Below are 17,605 nucleotides of genomic sequence, written 5' to 3' on the forward strand. Positions count from 1 at the left end.
CCAGCCTCTTCCAGCCACAGAACCTACAGAGAGGAGATGGTCAGGGAGCGCATTGGCCTCCAGAGCCCAGGACTGGAAGGAGGCATCGGGGCAGGGAATGTGAGACTCTGGCTCTGAGCCTAGTGGGCAGACGCACACAAGCCATGCTTGCTGAGAGATGACCGCCATGGCGGCGGCTGCCCTGCTAGAGGCAGGAGGGGAGTCAGGTCCAGATCCCAGACCCTCTGTGATGCCCGATGTGCTCCATCCATGGGGACCCCGTGCGGTCCCATTTCTGACACCCACTCTCTTTCCAGCTCAGGCCTGAGGATGCCCCTCACTCCATCACTGCCACCGGGGGTTCTCACAGCCCCTCACTGGCCTTGCCCTCACTTGGCAGCCAGTGACGGCATTATGGCCTCCTCCCCATCACTCTCCTCATTGTACTAAGGGTACAATCTCTCCATCCACTGGGCTCCTGCACCCACATGGATGGCAGGAGACAGCAGCGGGCAGATGGCCTCGCTCTCTGTTCATCCACAGACTGACTCAGGGATCCTAGGCGTGCCTGTGCCATTCCCCTCGACTTTCCTGGAAAGTGACTTCATGCCTTCCCCTCCTGCCTCCCAACTCCCAACACCTCCTCCCCATCCCCACTCAGGCAGATGACCTCGCTTCCTTTTCTTCCCTTTCTGCTGAGAAGTGAAACCATCCAAAGGGCACTTTCGCAGATGTCATCTCCACATGCCCCACCTACCAGCATCTGCCCCGACACCCGGTGCCGCCCACCGTTACTTACAGACCAACCAGGCAGCCCTCAGCTGGGCTGGACCGTGGCCACTGGCTTCCCCCAGCTGCAGGTGGGGCTCCAGCTAGTCTCCCTCGCTCCTGAACCATCCATTTTTCCCTCGCTTCCTGGTCATTCTCTGGCAGGCAAACTCGTGGTTGCTCTTCCCATATTGAGAACAACCCTCTCTTCACCCTCCAGGTACAGTCCCTGTTCCCTGATCAATGAAAGTGTCTGACCTTTCTGCCTCTGCCTCCTTACTCCTAGCCTGCCGGGATGGGACCAATGCCCACCAGGATCTTGTCCCCTCCATGTCACCGAACTGGTCCTGTCTCAGCCTTCACCTGACCTGCGCCCTCAGCAGCCAGGCACATGCTGCCTCTCCCTGCTCCCGCACCTCCCACCCTCACTGCGCTCTCCGGCTGCCCCTTCTCAGGCTCCTCTGTGGGGTGCTCCTCATCTCCTGGCCTCCTGGCACCAGCGTGTCCCGGGGATCTGGCCTCCGGCATCTCCTTCCCTGGGTGCACTCACCAGTGGCAACCCTAGCCAGCAAATACCATCTCTCTGCTGAGGCCCCCACATTGGCTGCTCCCCAACTCCATTGCCTCACCTTTGTCTCATGGGCAGCACAGATCTGCTGGGCGCAGCTGAGCTCCCATCGCCCCTACAAATCCACAGCCTACCCCCACACCCTGCAGCAAGACAAGTCCTCTCCTGTGCCTCGATGCATCCTTGACTCCTCTCTTTCTCTCCCCATCCTTCCCAGGGTATACCAGGAGCCTCACCTTCTAGGACCACCCACCACACCAGGCCCACTCCTTTCAAGTGACTGCCGCACAGCCCCATGGCAGTCTCAGCTACTCTCATCTGCTCTCAGCCCGAGACCTCCTTGAAACCAACGTCAGACCCATCCTTGGGGAGGTGGGCCATCGTGTGCAGGACACACAGCTGGGAGCATGCCGGTGGGGCCAGGGCGCGTCCTGGAGATTGGTGTGGCCGGAGCCTGGGGCCTGGGGGTTGTTGGGGGGAGCAGACAAGGGGTGGGCCTGGGGTCAGCTGGCAGAAGGCCCTGAGCATGTGCTGAAGTATCTGATCCTCTTCCTGGGGGCCCCAGAGATGCTCACACCAAGGAGCTCGGGAAGTTGGCTTGGGCTTGGGGCCGTCCCTCTGCTGGGAGAGCAGGGCTAGAGCAGGGAGCCTCAGTGGGGCTGTCTCCGAGAGCCAAGGGGAGCTGCGCGGTGGGCCCAGGAGGCTCCTGGGCACCCCTGCCTGGGCTCCTCTTTCCCAGCACCAGCCTGTCACCACTGATCGCTACTCCCTCCTCTCTCCCTCTGGAGAAGATGGGGTTGGCAAGAGGGTGGGGCCGTGCACACCTTGGCCCCGGATCCCCTGCCTCACCCTTCCACACACAGTCAATGTGCAGGGGCAGGACTGGCAGACAGATGGCCATGGGCCGGCCCCATAGCCAGGAACGAGCTCCTCGTGGGACTCCCAAATTAACCTTTCAGCGCCTGCCACCTGCCCTGGTGCCCAGGAGAGAAGAGGTCGCAATTCAGCACTTCGATTGCTGGCTTCATTACTGGCCACCAAGGAACCCACGCTGGCTTTGCTAATTTGACCACCCCACCAGGCTGCTCACCACTGCAAACAGATGTGGGCAAACTTATTAATTGGATCAGCAGGAGGCCTGTTTTCTGGAATTCCAGGGATCACAGCTGATCAGAGCGGTGGACACTTATCAGTAATCGTGGACTGCAGGACCTGGGCCCCCTCCACGCCCTGGGTCTCTCTGGGATGCTCTTGGTCCCTGGCTGGTCCCACTCCACGTTCACCTCTGCATAGATGCGCACACAGACACTCACACTCAAGAGGCAAGACCCAGTCTCCAAGAAAAGCCTGCAGCTACGGGGAGGGTTGTCAGCAGCAGCAATGTTTGGAGGGAGGCGCCGGGGCCGAGGAGAGAGCTGGGGTCACTGGTGGCATCTGCCCTCCCTCCCAAAGCCAGGCCCGGGGCTCCCTAAGCCTCCCTTTAGTGGTGTCTAGGATCCCCCAATCTCTGCACCAGCCGCGGGGGGCTGAGAGGGTCATGTGGACTATTTACTCTGCTGAATGGTGTGGGCAGGAGAGGGTGGGTGGCTGAGCAGGCCCCAACCTCAGCAGTCTCTGCTCTGCCACAGGCCACTGGGGCCACTGAGCTTGGCACTCAAGCTCTCAGAGCCTCAGTTTCCTCAAGGAGGAATGGGGGCAGAAGCCCCAGCCAGCCCCCAGATGCTCCTGAGATCCGGGGATCATCCCGGCGGCCCTACCGCACTCTGAGCTGACAACCTCAGAGCTGCTCCAGATGAAGGGTGATTTGGGCCCAGCTCTGTGTCTTGGGTCCTCCTGTGTCCCCAGCAGCACCACCTGCCCCTGCCTCTCTTTTCCTTCTCTCTTGCTCAGCAAAGCCCTGCCCAGGGAAGCCCAGCCATGTGCCTCTTCTGGCCCTCACCGGGGATCCCCCAGACACATGGCTGGGGCCTGTGGGGTGTCCAACCTCAGCAGCCTGGGGTGGTGTGTGGCCAGGGCAGCCTCCCCTCCCTGGGACGGCCATTCCAAATGCCACCACCAGCCCCTCACACTCCAGCCAGACCCCCAGGACACAGAGAACCAGCAGTGGCTGCTTCCCCGGTCCGGCCAGACCCCCAGGACACAGAGACATGGCACTGGCCACTTCCTGGCAAACCCGGACCATCACCCATGCTTAGTGGCCACGAGGGCAGAGGAAGTGGGGCTGAGAGGCCCAGAAGACCTGGTCCCAGGCCCTGCTGCGTTCACCTGACAAGCATCCCCTGTCCCATCTCCTGCTTCCCGTCTCACGTCCTGCAACTCTGTCCTGCTGCTGCTCAGGACAGACACGAGCTGCCCTCGACACGAGCCCCAGAGCCTCGGTGGGTCCATCAGGGGATGGAGCATGAGGCCTCTCTCAGGTTGCTTTGCAGACACGGGGGACCTTTAAGAGACAGGCAGTCCCCACTGCAGAGCTCGGGCCCAGAGGCCTCCAGCCCTCGGAAGGATTTTCTGCCTGTGGTAGTTGGGGGGTGGGGAGGGGGAGCCCCATGCGGGCCTGACATGGAGCCCTGAGAAACAGGCACGTGGCATCGCCTCCTCTGAAACACCCAGCCACTGCCCCAACCATCGACGGCCCCTGGGGAAAAGTGCAGACAGCCTAGGGTGCGGAAGAGCTGGCCCCGCCCCCAGCTCAGAGACCCTCAGAGGGCCCCACGCTGCCAGGCCCTCTCCTTCACGGGAATGATGTCACCGCCCAAGGGGTGGGCAGCAAGGCCCAAGCAGGGCAGAGCCACCCGAGACGGGCAGGCCACAACAGCAAGGCCCAGCTCACAAGCCAGGTGCATGACCCCAGCGTGCACTGAGTCTCCTGAGCCGCCTTCTCAAGTAGGTGCTATTACTACCCCCATTTACAGATGTGGCACTGAGAGTCAGAAAGCTTCCGAAATCTGCCCAAGGCCAGGTGTGGTGGCTCATGTCTGTAATCCCAGCACTTTGGGAGGCCGAGGCAGGAGGATCACTTGAGCCCAGGAGTTGGAGACCAGCCTGGGCGACATGGTGACACCCTGTCTCTACCAAAAATACAAAATTAGCCTGGTGTGGTGGCACATGACTGTCTGTAGTCCAGGCTATTTGGGAGGCTGAGGTGAGAGGATTGCTTGAGCCCTGGACTGCACTCCAGCCTGGCGGACAGAGCAAGACTGTCGAAAAAAAAAAAAATTTGCTGAAGGCCACATAGCCAGTAAGTGATGACAGACTTGGGATTGAAACCTAGGTGCGTCTACCTTCTTAACCACATACCCCATCAGGGAGGCAGGCCTTGCAGAGGAGTGGGAACTCAACTGGGCTGTGGGGACAAAGGCACCCTGGCCCCACCTGTAACCCCAACCCCCCAAGTTGATACCATCAGAGCTGCTCCAGATTAGGAGTGACTCCCAGACTCATACCCCAGCTGTCAGTGTCTTGGTTCCTCACCCCCTGAGCCCCTAGCTGCAAAGGGAGAAATCAAAGTGAGGCAGTCATTCACACCTTAGTGAGAATTAGTCCATAAGACTTCCTCTAGTAGGATCAAGTTTAGAAGTGGGGTAGAGAGCCTTGAAGGATCACACTCCGGGAGGGGTGTGGCCTGCTGGGGTAGTGGGTGGGTTGGAGGAGACAAGAGATGGAGAGCAGGGGGCCTGGGGGAAAGGGACAAGGAAATTCAACAGCCATCCTGAAGGTGGGTGCCGCCAGGTGGCCAGCCCCATCCCCAGGACATCTCTTCCTGAGTTGTCGGGGCCCAGACCACAATGCAATTAGTTCCCCACCCTCAATGAGCACCTACTGCATGCCCAGAGAACCCAACCTGGATGCTGTCTAGGACAGGGGCCTGCCCGAAGCAGGTGTGCAGCGGGGCTTTGCTAAATAAAAGGGGACACCTCAAGCCTGTGTGCCCTCAAACCCGCTCCTCCCCCACAGCTGTCCCCACCTCGGGGGAAGAAAGTCCATCCTTTTAGCTGCTCGTGCCCAATGCCCTGGAGTTGTCTTTGACACCCCCTTTTCCCCCACACCCCATGTCACCCCCATCAGCAGACCCCGTCGCTCGAGCCTCCAACACATCCAGAACGCAGCACCTCTGCCCTCCTCCATGGCCACCAGCCCTTGCTGTTTCCTGCAGGCCACCGGTACACCTGCTGCTCCCTCTGCCTGGACCTCCTGGTGCCTTGACCCGGTGGCACCCGCTCAGGGCCTTCCCTGAGCCACGCTGTACAGGTCACCTGCTCCCCGCCCCCCACTCACTGCCTTCCTTTCTTTTTGTCCCCGCAGCACTTGTCACCGTGATATTTATTTAACTTAAAAAGTTTTCTGTTCCCGCCGACTAGAAGATTCGCCTGTGCAGTCATTGCGGCGTCCTCAGCGCCGACAGCAGCCTCTGGTGCTCAGTGAATGCGTGTGGAATCCATGATCAGTGAACAATGAGAGCAGCAGGGCCGGCTCACGGGGCCCACGCGGGAGACTTGGGTGGGAGAGGGTGCCCTTTGAGGGGGGGCGTGGAGGGGCAGGGCAGGACAGGGTCAGGACCTTCGAGGCCACCTGCTCTCCATCTGTCTCCATCCCTGGGACATCAGCCTGGCACTTCTGCAGAGTGTCTCAGCCTGGACAAGTGTCCGACATGGACAGGACCACAAGCACCGGTCATAGGAGTGAAGGAGAGAGTGTGGCCCGAACACCTGGGTGTCCTTGTGCAAAACCAAAACCAGAACCAAAAAGGAGCTCAACCTTGACCTCTAACCACATGCAAACCCAAGTTCAAGTGGATGAAAAGCCAATAGCCTCAGTTCTTCAGGAGGGTTCCTTAAACAAGACACAAACGCTTTAATCAGAAAGTGAAAAAACCTGACACATTCAACAAAATTAAAATTAAGAACTTTTGTTCATAGAAGGACCGTGTGAACAGCGAGACGCGGCGTCCCCCAGGAGGTGTGGCTGCTGCATGTGTAACTGACAGTGTGAAGAGCTCCCACAAATCAATGGGAAAAACACCTTGGTAGAAAATGCGCACGGCCTTCGCCGGTGAGGAAACCCAGCGGGCAGCAAACCAGGGCAGCCCACCCCAACAACGCTGGAGGGACAGTGATGGGGAGAAGCGGTTTCAAGAGTCTGTTCCGATCTTCCAGAGCTGACCCTATGCGCACCCTGTGCCCCGGAGGTTCCACTGAGGGTGCACACCCAGAATCGCAGCCCACATCCCCAGACACCCGCACAGGAGTTTCCTAAGGTGGCCCAGGCTGCACAGTGCCCGGCAGTCTGCCAGGGAACAAACGGATTTCAGGGAAGCCACCATGACAACAGCAACTGGTAGCTCCACCTACCACCACAAGGGACCCTCACAAACAGAATAGTTTTGGTGAAAAAAAGCCACCCCCAAAACACAGGCTGAAGGAATCCAGGTATGAGGTCCCAAAGCAGGCAACATACAACCATCTCTGCTGGGGATGCCCTCTCAGGTGGCAGAACCACGAGGACAGCAAGGAACCACTGAGCACAAGGTCGGTGTCCCGGTGACTGCTTGGAGTAGGATGGGGCTGTCTGTGGGGAAGGGTCTCGGGGGATCTTAGGGGCTGGCCGGGAGCAGGATGGGGCTGTCTGTGGGGAAGGGTCTCGGGGGATCTCGGGGGTTGGCCATGTTGAACTCCTTGACACAGGTGGTGGTCGCCAGGTGGTCGTTCTAAACTTAACCACTGAACTGTGCGGATATTTATTAATGTCTCTGCAGGCCTATCACAGTTCACGACTTTGAAAAATTCTATTTTGGGGGGAAAACGTGGACACCAAACAGGAGTAGCTCTGGGCACCCCAGGAGCCATGAGAGGCGACTGACCCACTTCTCTGTTTGACAGAGGAGGGAACCGAAGCTCAAATAGAAAAAGGGGCTGCCCAGCAGCACGCTGCAGGAGGCAGGCAGGAGGGACCCTGTTTGGAGGGAGAGGAGGGGATTAATTTGAGGGATTAGAGGCACAGAGGCTCTGAGCACACGGAGAGCCAGCCGGGACTTGGTAATATCTATAAATATTTGAGAGTCACAAGAATAGTTTTTCCAAGCAGTCGAAGACAAGATAGCTGAGTGTGGCTGAGCAAGGGTCAAAGGACAAGAGCCAAGGTGGCCAGGCCATCAAATGGTGTGGCTGCATATCTACCATGTGGCCCCCCGGCCTGTGGGAGCCCTACTGTGCGCCAGCCTCTGCCAGGCACTGTGGCTGTCAGAACACCAGGGGCCAGACCCCGGCTCTGTTCTCTGGGGTGCCCATCTGGGGCCCTGGGGAAGACAGAAGACACCCCAGATGTCAGTGGGAGCCCCACTGACCTCCACTCCCCACCCCTTACCTGTCTTCCCTAAACACATCTGCTCTGGGCAGCCCCCAGGCCTTTGCACCTCTTGGAGGGTGGCCTGTCTGTCCTTGGAAACTCCTACCCATTCTTCATGCCTTGGCTCAAGTGTCCCTGCTTCCCGGAAGCTCTTCCCAATACCCCAGGCCAGGGTTCACAACCTGGGACCCCAGAGCATTGTGGGCAAACCCCTTCTGTATTCTGTCCGCTGGCCTAGGAGGATCTGTTGTGGGCCTCTGTCCCCGGCACTGGAGGGCCAACCGGGTCTTTTCACAGAGCTGGTACCCAGAGGGGGCTGGAGTCCACTTGGGAGGGAGGGGCAAGAGCGTCATGAAAACCCCAGGGAAAAGGCGACAGGGAAGACACAGAGTTTGTCATGTGGACAAGAAGGCAGGGAAGGGCATTCTCTACAGCAGGGACTGCGTGGGCAAAGGCAGGGGCATGAAGGTGGCAGCTTGTGGGGAACTCGGAAGCAGGGCGACAGCATGGGGGGGCAGCCAGTGGGAGGGACCAGGGAAGAGAGACCCCTCAATGTACACCTGCCCACCAAAGGGAGCCATTGAGGGCCACAGTGCCACCAGGTGACATGGTCCTTTTGCTCTTCAGCAAATATTTACAGGACTGTCCCATAAGTCAGTCCTGGCTCCAGGCCCTGGGGGGTGTGGGAGAGGAGGGGGCCAGGACCAGCACTCTCAGAGCTCAATCCAGACCCACAGACCCAGCCTGTGATGTGCAGACTCCACAGTCCAGGGGCCAGGAGGCAGGACCGACCATAGGGTCATCCCTGTGGACACTTCAGGACCCCTTCACTGTGACCACCGTGTGGTCTGAGGTTCCCCAGAGACCCTCTACCTGGGCCTGCTCTGGGCCAGGTCCCAGGAGAGATGCTTCCACCACAGGGGCTCACGGCACCCAACATCCCTGCAACCTGGTTGTGGTTAGGACACCCACTTTACAGATGAGAAAACTGAGGCCCAACCAGGGCCAGGACTTTGTCAGTGACTGGGTCTGTGGGACCCCAAACCCTGTGCCCTTCTGTGCAGGAAGCCATGCTGACCAACTTCCCTTCCACTCCCCTGGGCTTTTGGTTCTGAATCCCAGGCACCAAATGCAGGACAGAAACCCACTGGGGCAGCCCCGACACTGGCCAGAAGGGAAGATTCTGGAAAAGCCCTTCAGGCAACTCTGAGAACACTAATTGGGTGAGAGGGAGAGGAGGGCAGGACCCCTCCCCAGTTCTAGGAGTCCTTGCCCCACGCCACCCCTGGCAACTCCAGAAAGGCCACATGGCCCGATGCAGCCCAGGAGCCCAGGCCCTGGCCACTGCCTCCAGCCTTTATGGCTTAGCCCAGGGAAGCCTCAGCCCGCCTGGGACAGCAACGCTGACGCCATCAGCAGCTCAGGCAGCAGATCCGCCCACCTGGCACACCTGCCTACCTGTGCACCCAGCCGGGCGGGGTCATGCCTCTGTCCTCAGTGCCTGGCACACAGGAATAGGTGCCGGAGAGCCTTGGCCGGGCACAGGGAAGGAGGGAAAGAGAAAGAGAACCACCGCAGGGAACCCCCAGGCTGGCCTCAGGGCACCCCATGAATGCTAAGTTTTTCCTCAAGTCTCAGCTGAGTTAAGCAGTGTTTCCTCCCCCCCACAGGCGGTACAACCCAGGTGGTGAAATGACAGCCAATGTGGGGCACCAGGGAAGGGCCCTGGCCTGGGCCAGAGCCTGAGTTTGGGCCTGAGGTCATCTGTGTGACCACAGCCAGGGCTGTCGCTCTTTGGGCCTCACCGCCCCCACCTGGACCTTGGCCACGACAAGGTGGGCCTGGCTGATGGGTATCAGGTATTTGGGGTCTGAGATTGAACCACCTCAGAGACTGGACCCCTCCTCCCAGCACAAGACATGTTGGTCCTGTCCCTGTGGGACCCACAGTGGGGGCTGCACATCAGCTCCATGGCCCAGGAGATGGCCCTGCTCTGAGAGTCCACCCTGGGTCTCTGTGTGAGCCCACCTGCCCCCAGGCTCCCACCTGGGTGTTTCCAAGCCACTCACCCACGGCACTAAGGGTCAGCTGGCAGAGCCCAGGGCCCCTCTGCCCTAGACCTGGGCCCAGGCTGGGCTCTGCTCCTTGGGGGAGGGATGCTCCTCTACCCGGCCTCCTCCCCAGGATGCCAATTCTGGCCTCGGGAGGGAGTGGCGAGGACGGAGACCCTGTGGGCCAGGGGAGACAGTGCTGAAACCCAGCAGCCAGAGCTGGGCCTGCCGCCCACACAACGCCTCGGCTCAGGCTCCGGAAGGAAAACACGGGAGGGGTGTTCCCAAAGTAGGGGTCAGGGTGCCAGGGGAAGTCGTGGAGGAAGTGGCAAATATTCAAACTGGCTGATCCCAGGCCTGCCGCGCAGGTGGTCCCGTGAAGTCTACCAAGGCTTAAAGTTTGGCACCGGGAGGGAGGCCGCGGGGGACACTCCCCAGAAGCTGTCGCGGGATTCCCCCAAAATGGCTCCAAGACGCGGCTGCCTGGTCCAGCCGCGAGGACTCCATCCCCCACCCCCGCCCCCCAGAGGCGGACACTTAAAAGCTCAGAGCCAGGCAACTGGCAGCCCGGGGGCTGGGGCGGGTGGTGGTTGGGGGTGGGGTGGGGTCGGGGGAGAGAGCGCCGGGGCAGTGCGGAACGGCACGAACGGAACCCGGAGGGTCCCCGGGGACCAGCGAGAGTCCAGGGCAGGGAGCCAGAGGGGCGCTGAGGACCGCACAGGACCAGGCGGCCCCGGGTAGGGGGCAGCCCGGCCCTCAGTGGCGCTAGCCCCAGCCCCCGCCGCAGCGGCCCGGGCCGGCGGAGGAGCCCCGCGCGAGGCTCCCCAGCGCCTCGCGGCGCGCACACACGCACCACACACACGCACCTGGCCCGCAGCCCCGCCGAGGCCGCCCGCGGGCCCTGGGGGATGCGCTCGGGTGGAGCCCCCTTCCCCCGCCTTCCCCAGCGCCCTCACCCCCGACCCGGCCCCCGCGAGCCGCGGCACGGGAGACGCTCCACTCACCTGAGTTTCTCCATGTCTGCGGCAGAGGCCTGCGAGAAACCAAACGAGAGGGTCAGCAGGCAGGAGGCGTGCGCTCCGCGGCCGCGCCGGGCAGAGCCGGGCACAGCGGGCACGGCCGGGCAACCCCGCGGGGCCCCGTCCGTGGGAAGCCCGGCGCCGCGCGTCCCCAGCTTCCAGTCCCGGCCGCGGCCCCCGTGACTCAGTGGGCGCGCCGGGCCGCGGCCGAGTAACAGGTGAGCCCGCCCGGGCCGCCGCGCTCCCCGCACCGAGTTACGCCCCCCGGGGCGAAGAAGGGGCCGGCCCGGGATGGCCCGGCCAGGGGCGATCTCGGCCTCGCCCGGAGGAGGGGGACTCGGCCTGTCCCCGTTAACTCTCCGGCGGCCGCGGCCCCGCTGCTCCCCCCGCCCCGCCCGTTAACCCTTCCTGCCCCGCGCTCCCTCCCGGAGGAAGCCGAACCCCGGAATCGCAGAACCTCCGAGTCGGAGAATGTTGGGGAATTCGGGGCCGTGCAGGATTGCAGAACCTGACACTCACACAATCCGAGGGCGATGGCATTTGGAGCCTCGACTCCTCAATCAGGGACCCGCTGCCCTCAGATTCTGGGGTTTTGGGCCTGGCTTGCCCCTCCCGGGCCCCAGGGATTAACCCGTGAGCGCCCGGCTCGCCGGCGGGGCTCCCTGCCTTGCTTGCGCAGACCCGCCCGCGCGCGGCTTGGAGACCCTCCCTGCCCAGCCCCGCTCAGCCGGGCAGCCCCTCCGCGCGCCGGGCAGGGGGACCCACCCGCCGCCGTTAACCTTGTGGGCGCGGGCGAGCGACGGGGACCGCGAGCGGCCCGGGCGGGATCGCACTTCCTGCGTGGAGCTGGGGGCGCCGGGCGGGCTCTCTATCACCCGGGAGAGGCCGCTCCCCGGGGCTTTGCCCGTCTTTCTGTGCCGTGACTGGCACTCAAGGGGGACAGGGGTCCGAGCTCAGGGACCACGCGACAGACCTGGGAAGACTGATGACTGCCCATCCCGGCCCCTCGCGCCGGGCGCCGCCGCCGCGTCCGCCGGGAGCGCGCTCCGCTCGGGTCCGGGCCCCACGCCGCCTCCCCCACCGCCCCGCCGGGCGAGGGCGCAGCCCGGCCGCAGCGCCAAGCTAGAAGGCCCGGCCCCGGGGCCTCGGCCAGGCTCGGCCACCAACTTCCCGGGTGCTCGGGCCGGCCTTCCGGCGCTCTCCCGGCCTCAGTTTCCTCACCTGAAAGCTGGGGGGAAGGGGGAGGCAGCTGGACGAGGCGCTCCACTGCCCTTCCGCACCCGCGGGCTGCGGATCGGCTGGGGTGGGGGAAGGAATTTCAGGGGAAGGGATCCCTAAGGCGCCCGGATGGCGGTTCCCCTCCCCAGACGCTCTAAAAGTTGTCCAAGACCACAAGCCTGGACCCCTCCATAAACCCTCCTCCTGCAAGACAAGGAGTTTGCCGGGAAGACTTTGCCGCCGGCCAGCGCGACCCCCACACCGCTCTCTTCCCCAGGCCCACCTTTCCGGGTCCCCATGACAGCGCTTCTCATGCTAGGTCCCAGCATACAGCAGGCGCTCAATAAACACGGACAGTGCATGCCTGGATCCTACGGCACTGGAGCCTGTCTTTCCTGGCCCTTTCCCCTCCTGGCTGTGAGCTCCCGGGCAGGAGCCCTGTGTTCTCACCAGGACACCCCCAGCACCCAGCAGGCTTGGCCTGCGCTGAGCCAGCGCAGGGTGGGAGGAGCCGTCCACTCAGAGGGTCAGACCTGAACCAGGATCAAACCAAACCCAAGAAATCCAAGTGTTCCTCCATCCACGGACACCCACTCGTTCACTAGCTCTGGGCTAAGTTCTCCAGCAGAGAGGGGACAGCAGACAAAGCAGAGAGGGGACAGCAGAGGAAGCAAGCTCTGCTCTCCAGGGGCTAATGAGGAAAACCCCCTCCGCCCCCCTCCGGTCCTGGGAGGCCACCCTCAGCAGAATGGCCACGGTAGTCATAACAATAACGTCCACCGCCCCTTACACATCATAGCGCTTCCCACGGCTCCTCACCACAGCTCTGCCATGGAAGCCCCGGACCCCCTATGCGGGAGCAAAGCTCCAACAGAGAAGAGGCTTGCTGGAGATCCCGCAGCTGAAGGGGCCCAGCTGCGCCTGGACCCCACTGCTCAGGAGCCTTTCCCACCCAAAGGCTGTCTCTGGTTGCCAACCTCAATCACTCACGGCGAATGACCTGCCAGGGAGTTTGTCTAAAATTAATAAGAATGTATTAAAATTTAATTTTAAAAATCTAGCATTAATTATTTACATTGAATGTTTCAGCCCTTCTAAAAGGCCTGGATGGGAATTCCCCCCACCCCCAGAAGGGAACTGGGGGGAAAGGCAGGGGAGGTTGCTGAGCTGCCCTGGTGGAGCAGTGGGGGCTGGGCAGGGCAAGAGACAGGCAGGGAACAGGCAGCCCCTGCCCTTCAAGCCTATTCTAGAGCCTGAAGCCTGGCTTTGATGCTGCTGTAGCTCAAATCCTCCTCTGACCCATTGCCTTCGGGGCAACCACTGCCCTCCCCCTTGGAGGCTGTATCCTCCATGCGGCCCTCTGTGGGAACTCTGGGGAGTCACTGAGTTTACCCCCACACCAGATGGGACAGGACTCTGTGTCCCAGCTCTGTGTCCCTGGACCAGCCCAGCACCTGGCAGGGGCGGGGGGACTAAAAGATGGGTTGTGCCTGATGCTCTCCATGCAGGAGTGACACAGGCATCTTTATGGGTGGCTAGGGAGAAGATAGCAGGGAAGCTCCCCTGGCCGAGGTGCTACGCCCTCGGGGACAGTCTCCCATGAGGCTCCTGCACGGGCCCAGCACCCCGGGTGCAAGTTTTGATTCAGCCATTCATTGACCACAAGACTCGGTGATTTTCGTGAGACCCTTACTACGGGTGAGGAAACGGAGGCCAGCGCATGAAGTGGCTTGCTCAAGTCCCCTGAGGTTAGCCGAGGCCTGCCTGATGGGCTGGAGAACCGCGGCGCTGCCTGGGTCTTGGGCCAGTGGGTGGGGGCCATGAGGATGAGGAGTCTGTGGGGTGCCCCAGGGTTCCCACTGTGAAGTGAGGGGGCGGGATCTCCCTTAGGGAGGCTGGGACCCCAGGGTGCACACTGGGTGCCCTCGGGGGACAGTCCTCATGGCACAGTCCTTCCCCGCCTCTGGGCGCTGTCCAGCCCCATTCACACCCGCTGCCTCTTCCTCCAACACACCTCTCCCCACCGTCTGCCTTAAGTCCCTACCTCTTTCTGGTGGTCCAGCCCAGCAGCCACCTTTATCTTCTGACCCCTCACAGGAGCCCTGCCTGTTGGCCACTAGCCCCTGCTCTCTCCTCACTCCCACCTGTGGCCATCTGGGTCCTGATGACGTGCCCATCCCTGCATGGGCTGAGGCCTGTGGAGCTCCCAGCTGCCTCCCTCCCACCTACTACTTCCTTTTCTTACTAGCGATGGGAGGGCCGCCCGGGTCAGAAACATGCCCGTCCACCCTTTCCTCTGCTGCTGTGTCCCCAGGGTGGCCTTGGGCCCGGTCACAGAAATCAGTTCCATTGAAGTGTCACAGCAGCTTTGCTGGGTGGGTCTCATCAGCTGTGCATTTGCAGTTTATAGGCAAGAGCTTGGAGATTTGGGGCCAGGGACCTTGCTATCTTCCCTGTGGCACCCGGGCACAGAGACTGGCACACAGTAGGGCCTCCCCAGACAAGGTGGAGGGGGTGACTCTGTGCCACCTGTCAGGCCTCCATGAGGGGTTGGTAAATACTGACCTGGCCCTGCCAAATCATCCGACCCCCATGCCCAGCAGCCTCCCCTCGCTAGGCACACACTGGCCACACTGGCTGCCTTGCTGGCTCCAGGCTCACCTGGCCCATCCCTGTCTTAGGGCCTTTGCACTGGTTCCTTGCACCTGGAATGTTCTGCCCTGACTCTGCACGGCCGGGGCCTCCCTTCCCTGACTACCCATCTAAAGCATCGGTGAGGCCCGACAGCAGAGCTCCTCCATTCTGCCGCTGCATCTCCCTGTGTCCAGGGCCTGGCATGGAAGCCCTGCGGTGAGCAGGTGGTGTTGGCCTGAACGAATGCAGTGCGTCTTAATCCCCAGCCAGAGGCACCTGCTCCTCAGCCCTGGGCAGCATCCTTCCTGCTCTCACAGCAGGGTCCTCGTCATTCTAACACCATCCGCGTCCCTTCTTCAAGCCTGCCCCTGCGCGGGAGGGCACAGAGCCCCTTGGTACCGGGCATCGTATCTTCGCAGAGCTCTGCCCTGGGAAACCCCTCTTCAGATGTGGGTCAGTCCTGCTGTGGCCCCCATAATGGAGCACATAAATCCTCTGCCGGACCATCTGACCCCATTGCACGGCTGCCCACTGCCCCCTAAATCCGGCTGATTTCTGACACTGTGAAGAGGAGAGTGAGCCCACCTCTGCAGGGGGCCTGCCAGGTGAGGAGTGCCATGCCAAGGACAGAGGCCTGGGTTCCTGTCCCAGCTCTGCCTCCGACTCAGGCCAGCCCCACCCTCCCTCAGGGCATGGGGCTGGCCTCTCCGACCCCAACCCCAGTGCTTGGCCCCCCAGGACTCCTTACACCCATGCTGGGCTCTAGCTTCCTCAGTTTCCCTGAATCTTGTTGCCCTTACCCCTCCTGGAGGGGAGGAAATGAGCCTAACATGTGGAGGGCAGAGATGAGCCCTGGGGGGTTGGGCCTTCTCCGCAGCTGTGGGACCTTGGGCAGGGCTCTCAACCTCTCTGACCCTCAGTTACTCATCTAGGAAGGAAAGATGGAAAATCCTTCACTGGGAGCAACAAGGCGGCTGTGTGTAAGGGACTGTCCTGGGGACGGGGTGTGGCTGTTCTGGAGAGCCAGCCTTCTAACTGATCACTTGGAGTGGACAGCTTTCTAAGATGTTTTACATGGTACCCTGCCTTGTGACATTCATTTGGCAAACACTGACTGTGTGCAGAGCCCTGTTCTGGGGGATTCAGCACTGGTCAGACTGGATGAAATTCTCTGCTCTCACTGTGCTGATATTCTCATGCAGGAAGACAGACCCCAAGAGATGAATCAGTACACCACCCCTCCCACCCTGTATGTCCGACGGGGATATGTGTACAGAGAAGGATGGGAGGCAGGGTGGGGCAGGAAAGGGGTGCAGTGATGAACACAGAGGCCCGGATGAAGTGAGCTGAGCCCAGTAGCAGATGAATCCCAAGGGGCCACTGGAGGAGGGAGCAGGTGAGTCTGGGGGGAGGGGCTTCCGGAGGAGGGGGCTGGTGAGTCTGGGGGGAGGGGCTTCCGGAGGAGGGGGCTGGTGAGTCTGGGGGGAGGGGCTTCCGGAGGACGGGGCGGGTGAGTCCCGAAGGGGCCGCCAGAGGAGGGGCGGGTGAGTCCTGGGAGGTCGCTAGAGGAGCAGCCCTGCGGCTGTGCCTGGTGAGTTGGGAAGCATCCCGGTCACCAGTGGGAAGGAGCAGCTGGGGTGCGGGGCCTCGTGCACCCTCATCAGGACCTTGGCTTCTGCCATGAGGTGGATGGGAGCCCCTGGAGGGATGAATGGGGGCGTCTCTGGCACACCACTGTGTGGAGAGGGGCAAGTGCAGGACCCCAGGGCATCCAGCCAGGCCCACGGGGCCTGGGGTGGAGGTGGGAGGGATTCTCAGATTCCCAGGCAGTCTAGAAGCAGACATGGAAGGAAGAGAACCCCTGAGGTGACAGAAGCATTGTGACCTCATGTTGAGCAGGGGAACATGGGGAATTCAGGGCTGGTGGTGCCCCTTGGCCATCCCAGGGGAGACACCAAGGGCTGGGAAATGGGCTTGGAGTTCAGGGGAGGCTCCAGGAGATGTGAACCTGGAAATGGCCAGATCAGAGGTGACACAGCCGCAGCACTGGGGAGGCCGCCAGGGCAGCCACGGTGGGAGGCGACAGGGGCTGGGACAGAGCCCGGGACTCTGCCACTGTTGGGGATCAGGAGGTGAGCAGGACCGGCCAAGGAGACTGGGAAAGGGTGGGTGGGAGGTGGGAGGAGAGTCTGCATTAAGGGTGGAGGTGGTCCTTCGGGGGCTGTCTCAAGGAGGAGAGCGGGATCATCGGTGTCATGCGCTGACCCACAGGTAGGACAAGGACGGAGAGCCGCCTGGGCCTCGTGAACCCCAGGCATCCCCAAGGGCCTCGCTGGTGCTGGGCACGTGGTGGGGTTCCCCAGAGCCTCCGCTGCAGTCCCAAATGAGCCGCGGGCTTTCCTGGCCTTATCTGATCAATGGGAGAGGGAAGAGTGCTTGCCCTGGGTTACCCGGCAAGTTGAGGATCTGAACCCAGGCCCTGGCTTGGGGCTGTCCCCAGATGGGGCCAAGAATGTCCTTCCCCTGGGGAATTTGGGCACCTGGCCTCGGCTGCAGAGGTGACCCTGTCCCACCTGTGACCTGAGCCCTGGGTCTTGTCTAGGCTCTGTGTGACTTCATACAGGGCCTCCCTTTTCCCAGCTGTGCCCCGGTGCCGCCAGGCTAGGCTGGTGACTGCGAACTGGCCTCCCGGAGCTAAATCTGGCCCACCACCAGCATGTTGTATTTGGCCTGCACAAAGGTTTTTTTTTTTTTTTTTTTTTAAACATTTGAGCCAACATTTAAAAATTGGGAGTTTACATTTTAAAATCCGTATTTTTGGCTTCTACTGAAAATTTTGGAAGATCTGGCAACGTCGGCCCACATTCCCACGTGGCAACAGTCAGCGGGGCTGGGAAGCAGCTGCCCCCTCTCCAGGCACCTTGGGGGTCCCCCATTCAGGAAGGGGACCATCCACATCTGAGCTTTCCCTATTATCGGGAGGCTGAGGCCAGTAGGGCAGAGTGACTTATTCAAGGTCACTCAGC

The 17,605-nt window shown here is 61.6% G+C and overlaps 1 protein-coding gene across 29 annotated transcripts in view; it reads right to left on the reverse strand.

The window, feature by feature from the left end:
* BEGAIN (brain enriched guanylate kinase associated) overlaps window positions 1–17,605 on the reverse strand; it is a 50,271-nt gene that overhangs the window by 20,052 nt on the left and 12,614 nt on the right. For 6 of the 29 annotated variants that reach the window (NR_169570.1, NM_001385095.1, NM_001385094.1 and 3 more), the window contains exons 1-2: window positions 11,701–11,779; window positions 10,713–10,741 (exon numbers count right to left, since the gene is read on the reverse strand). The exons of 2 other annotated variants lie outside the window; for them this stretch is intronic. Coding sequence is in view for 25 of the 27 variants with exons in the window: in NM_001385095.1 (NP_001372024.1) it covers window positions 10,713–10,741; window positions 11,701–11,724 (53 nt within the window). In the remaining 2 variants the exon portion in view is untranslated. Of the gene's footprint in view, window positions 1–9,726; window positions 9,886–10,712; window positions 11,104–11,246; window positions 11,296–11,492; window positions 11,780–11,948; window positions 12,595–17,605 lie in introns of those variants that run through there. 21 more of the 29 variants (NM_001385093.1, NM_001385089.1, XM_024449671.2 and 18 more) reach the window with 9 other exon arrangements.

This window comes from Homo sapiens, chromosome 14, assembly GCF_000001405.40.
Source record: "Homo sapiens chromosome 14, GRCh38.p14 Primary Assembly".
Taxonomy (NCBI): Eukaryota; Metazoa; Chordata; class Mammalia; order Primates; family Hominidae; genus Homo; species Homo sapiens.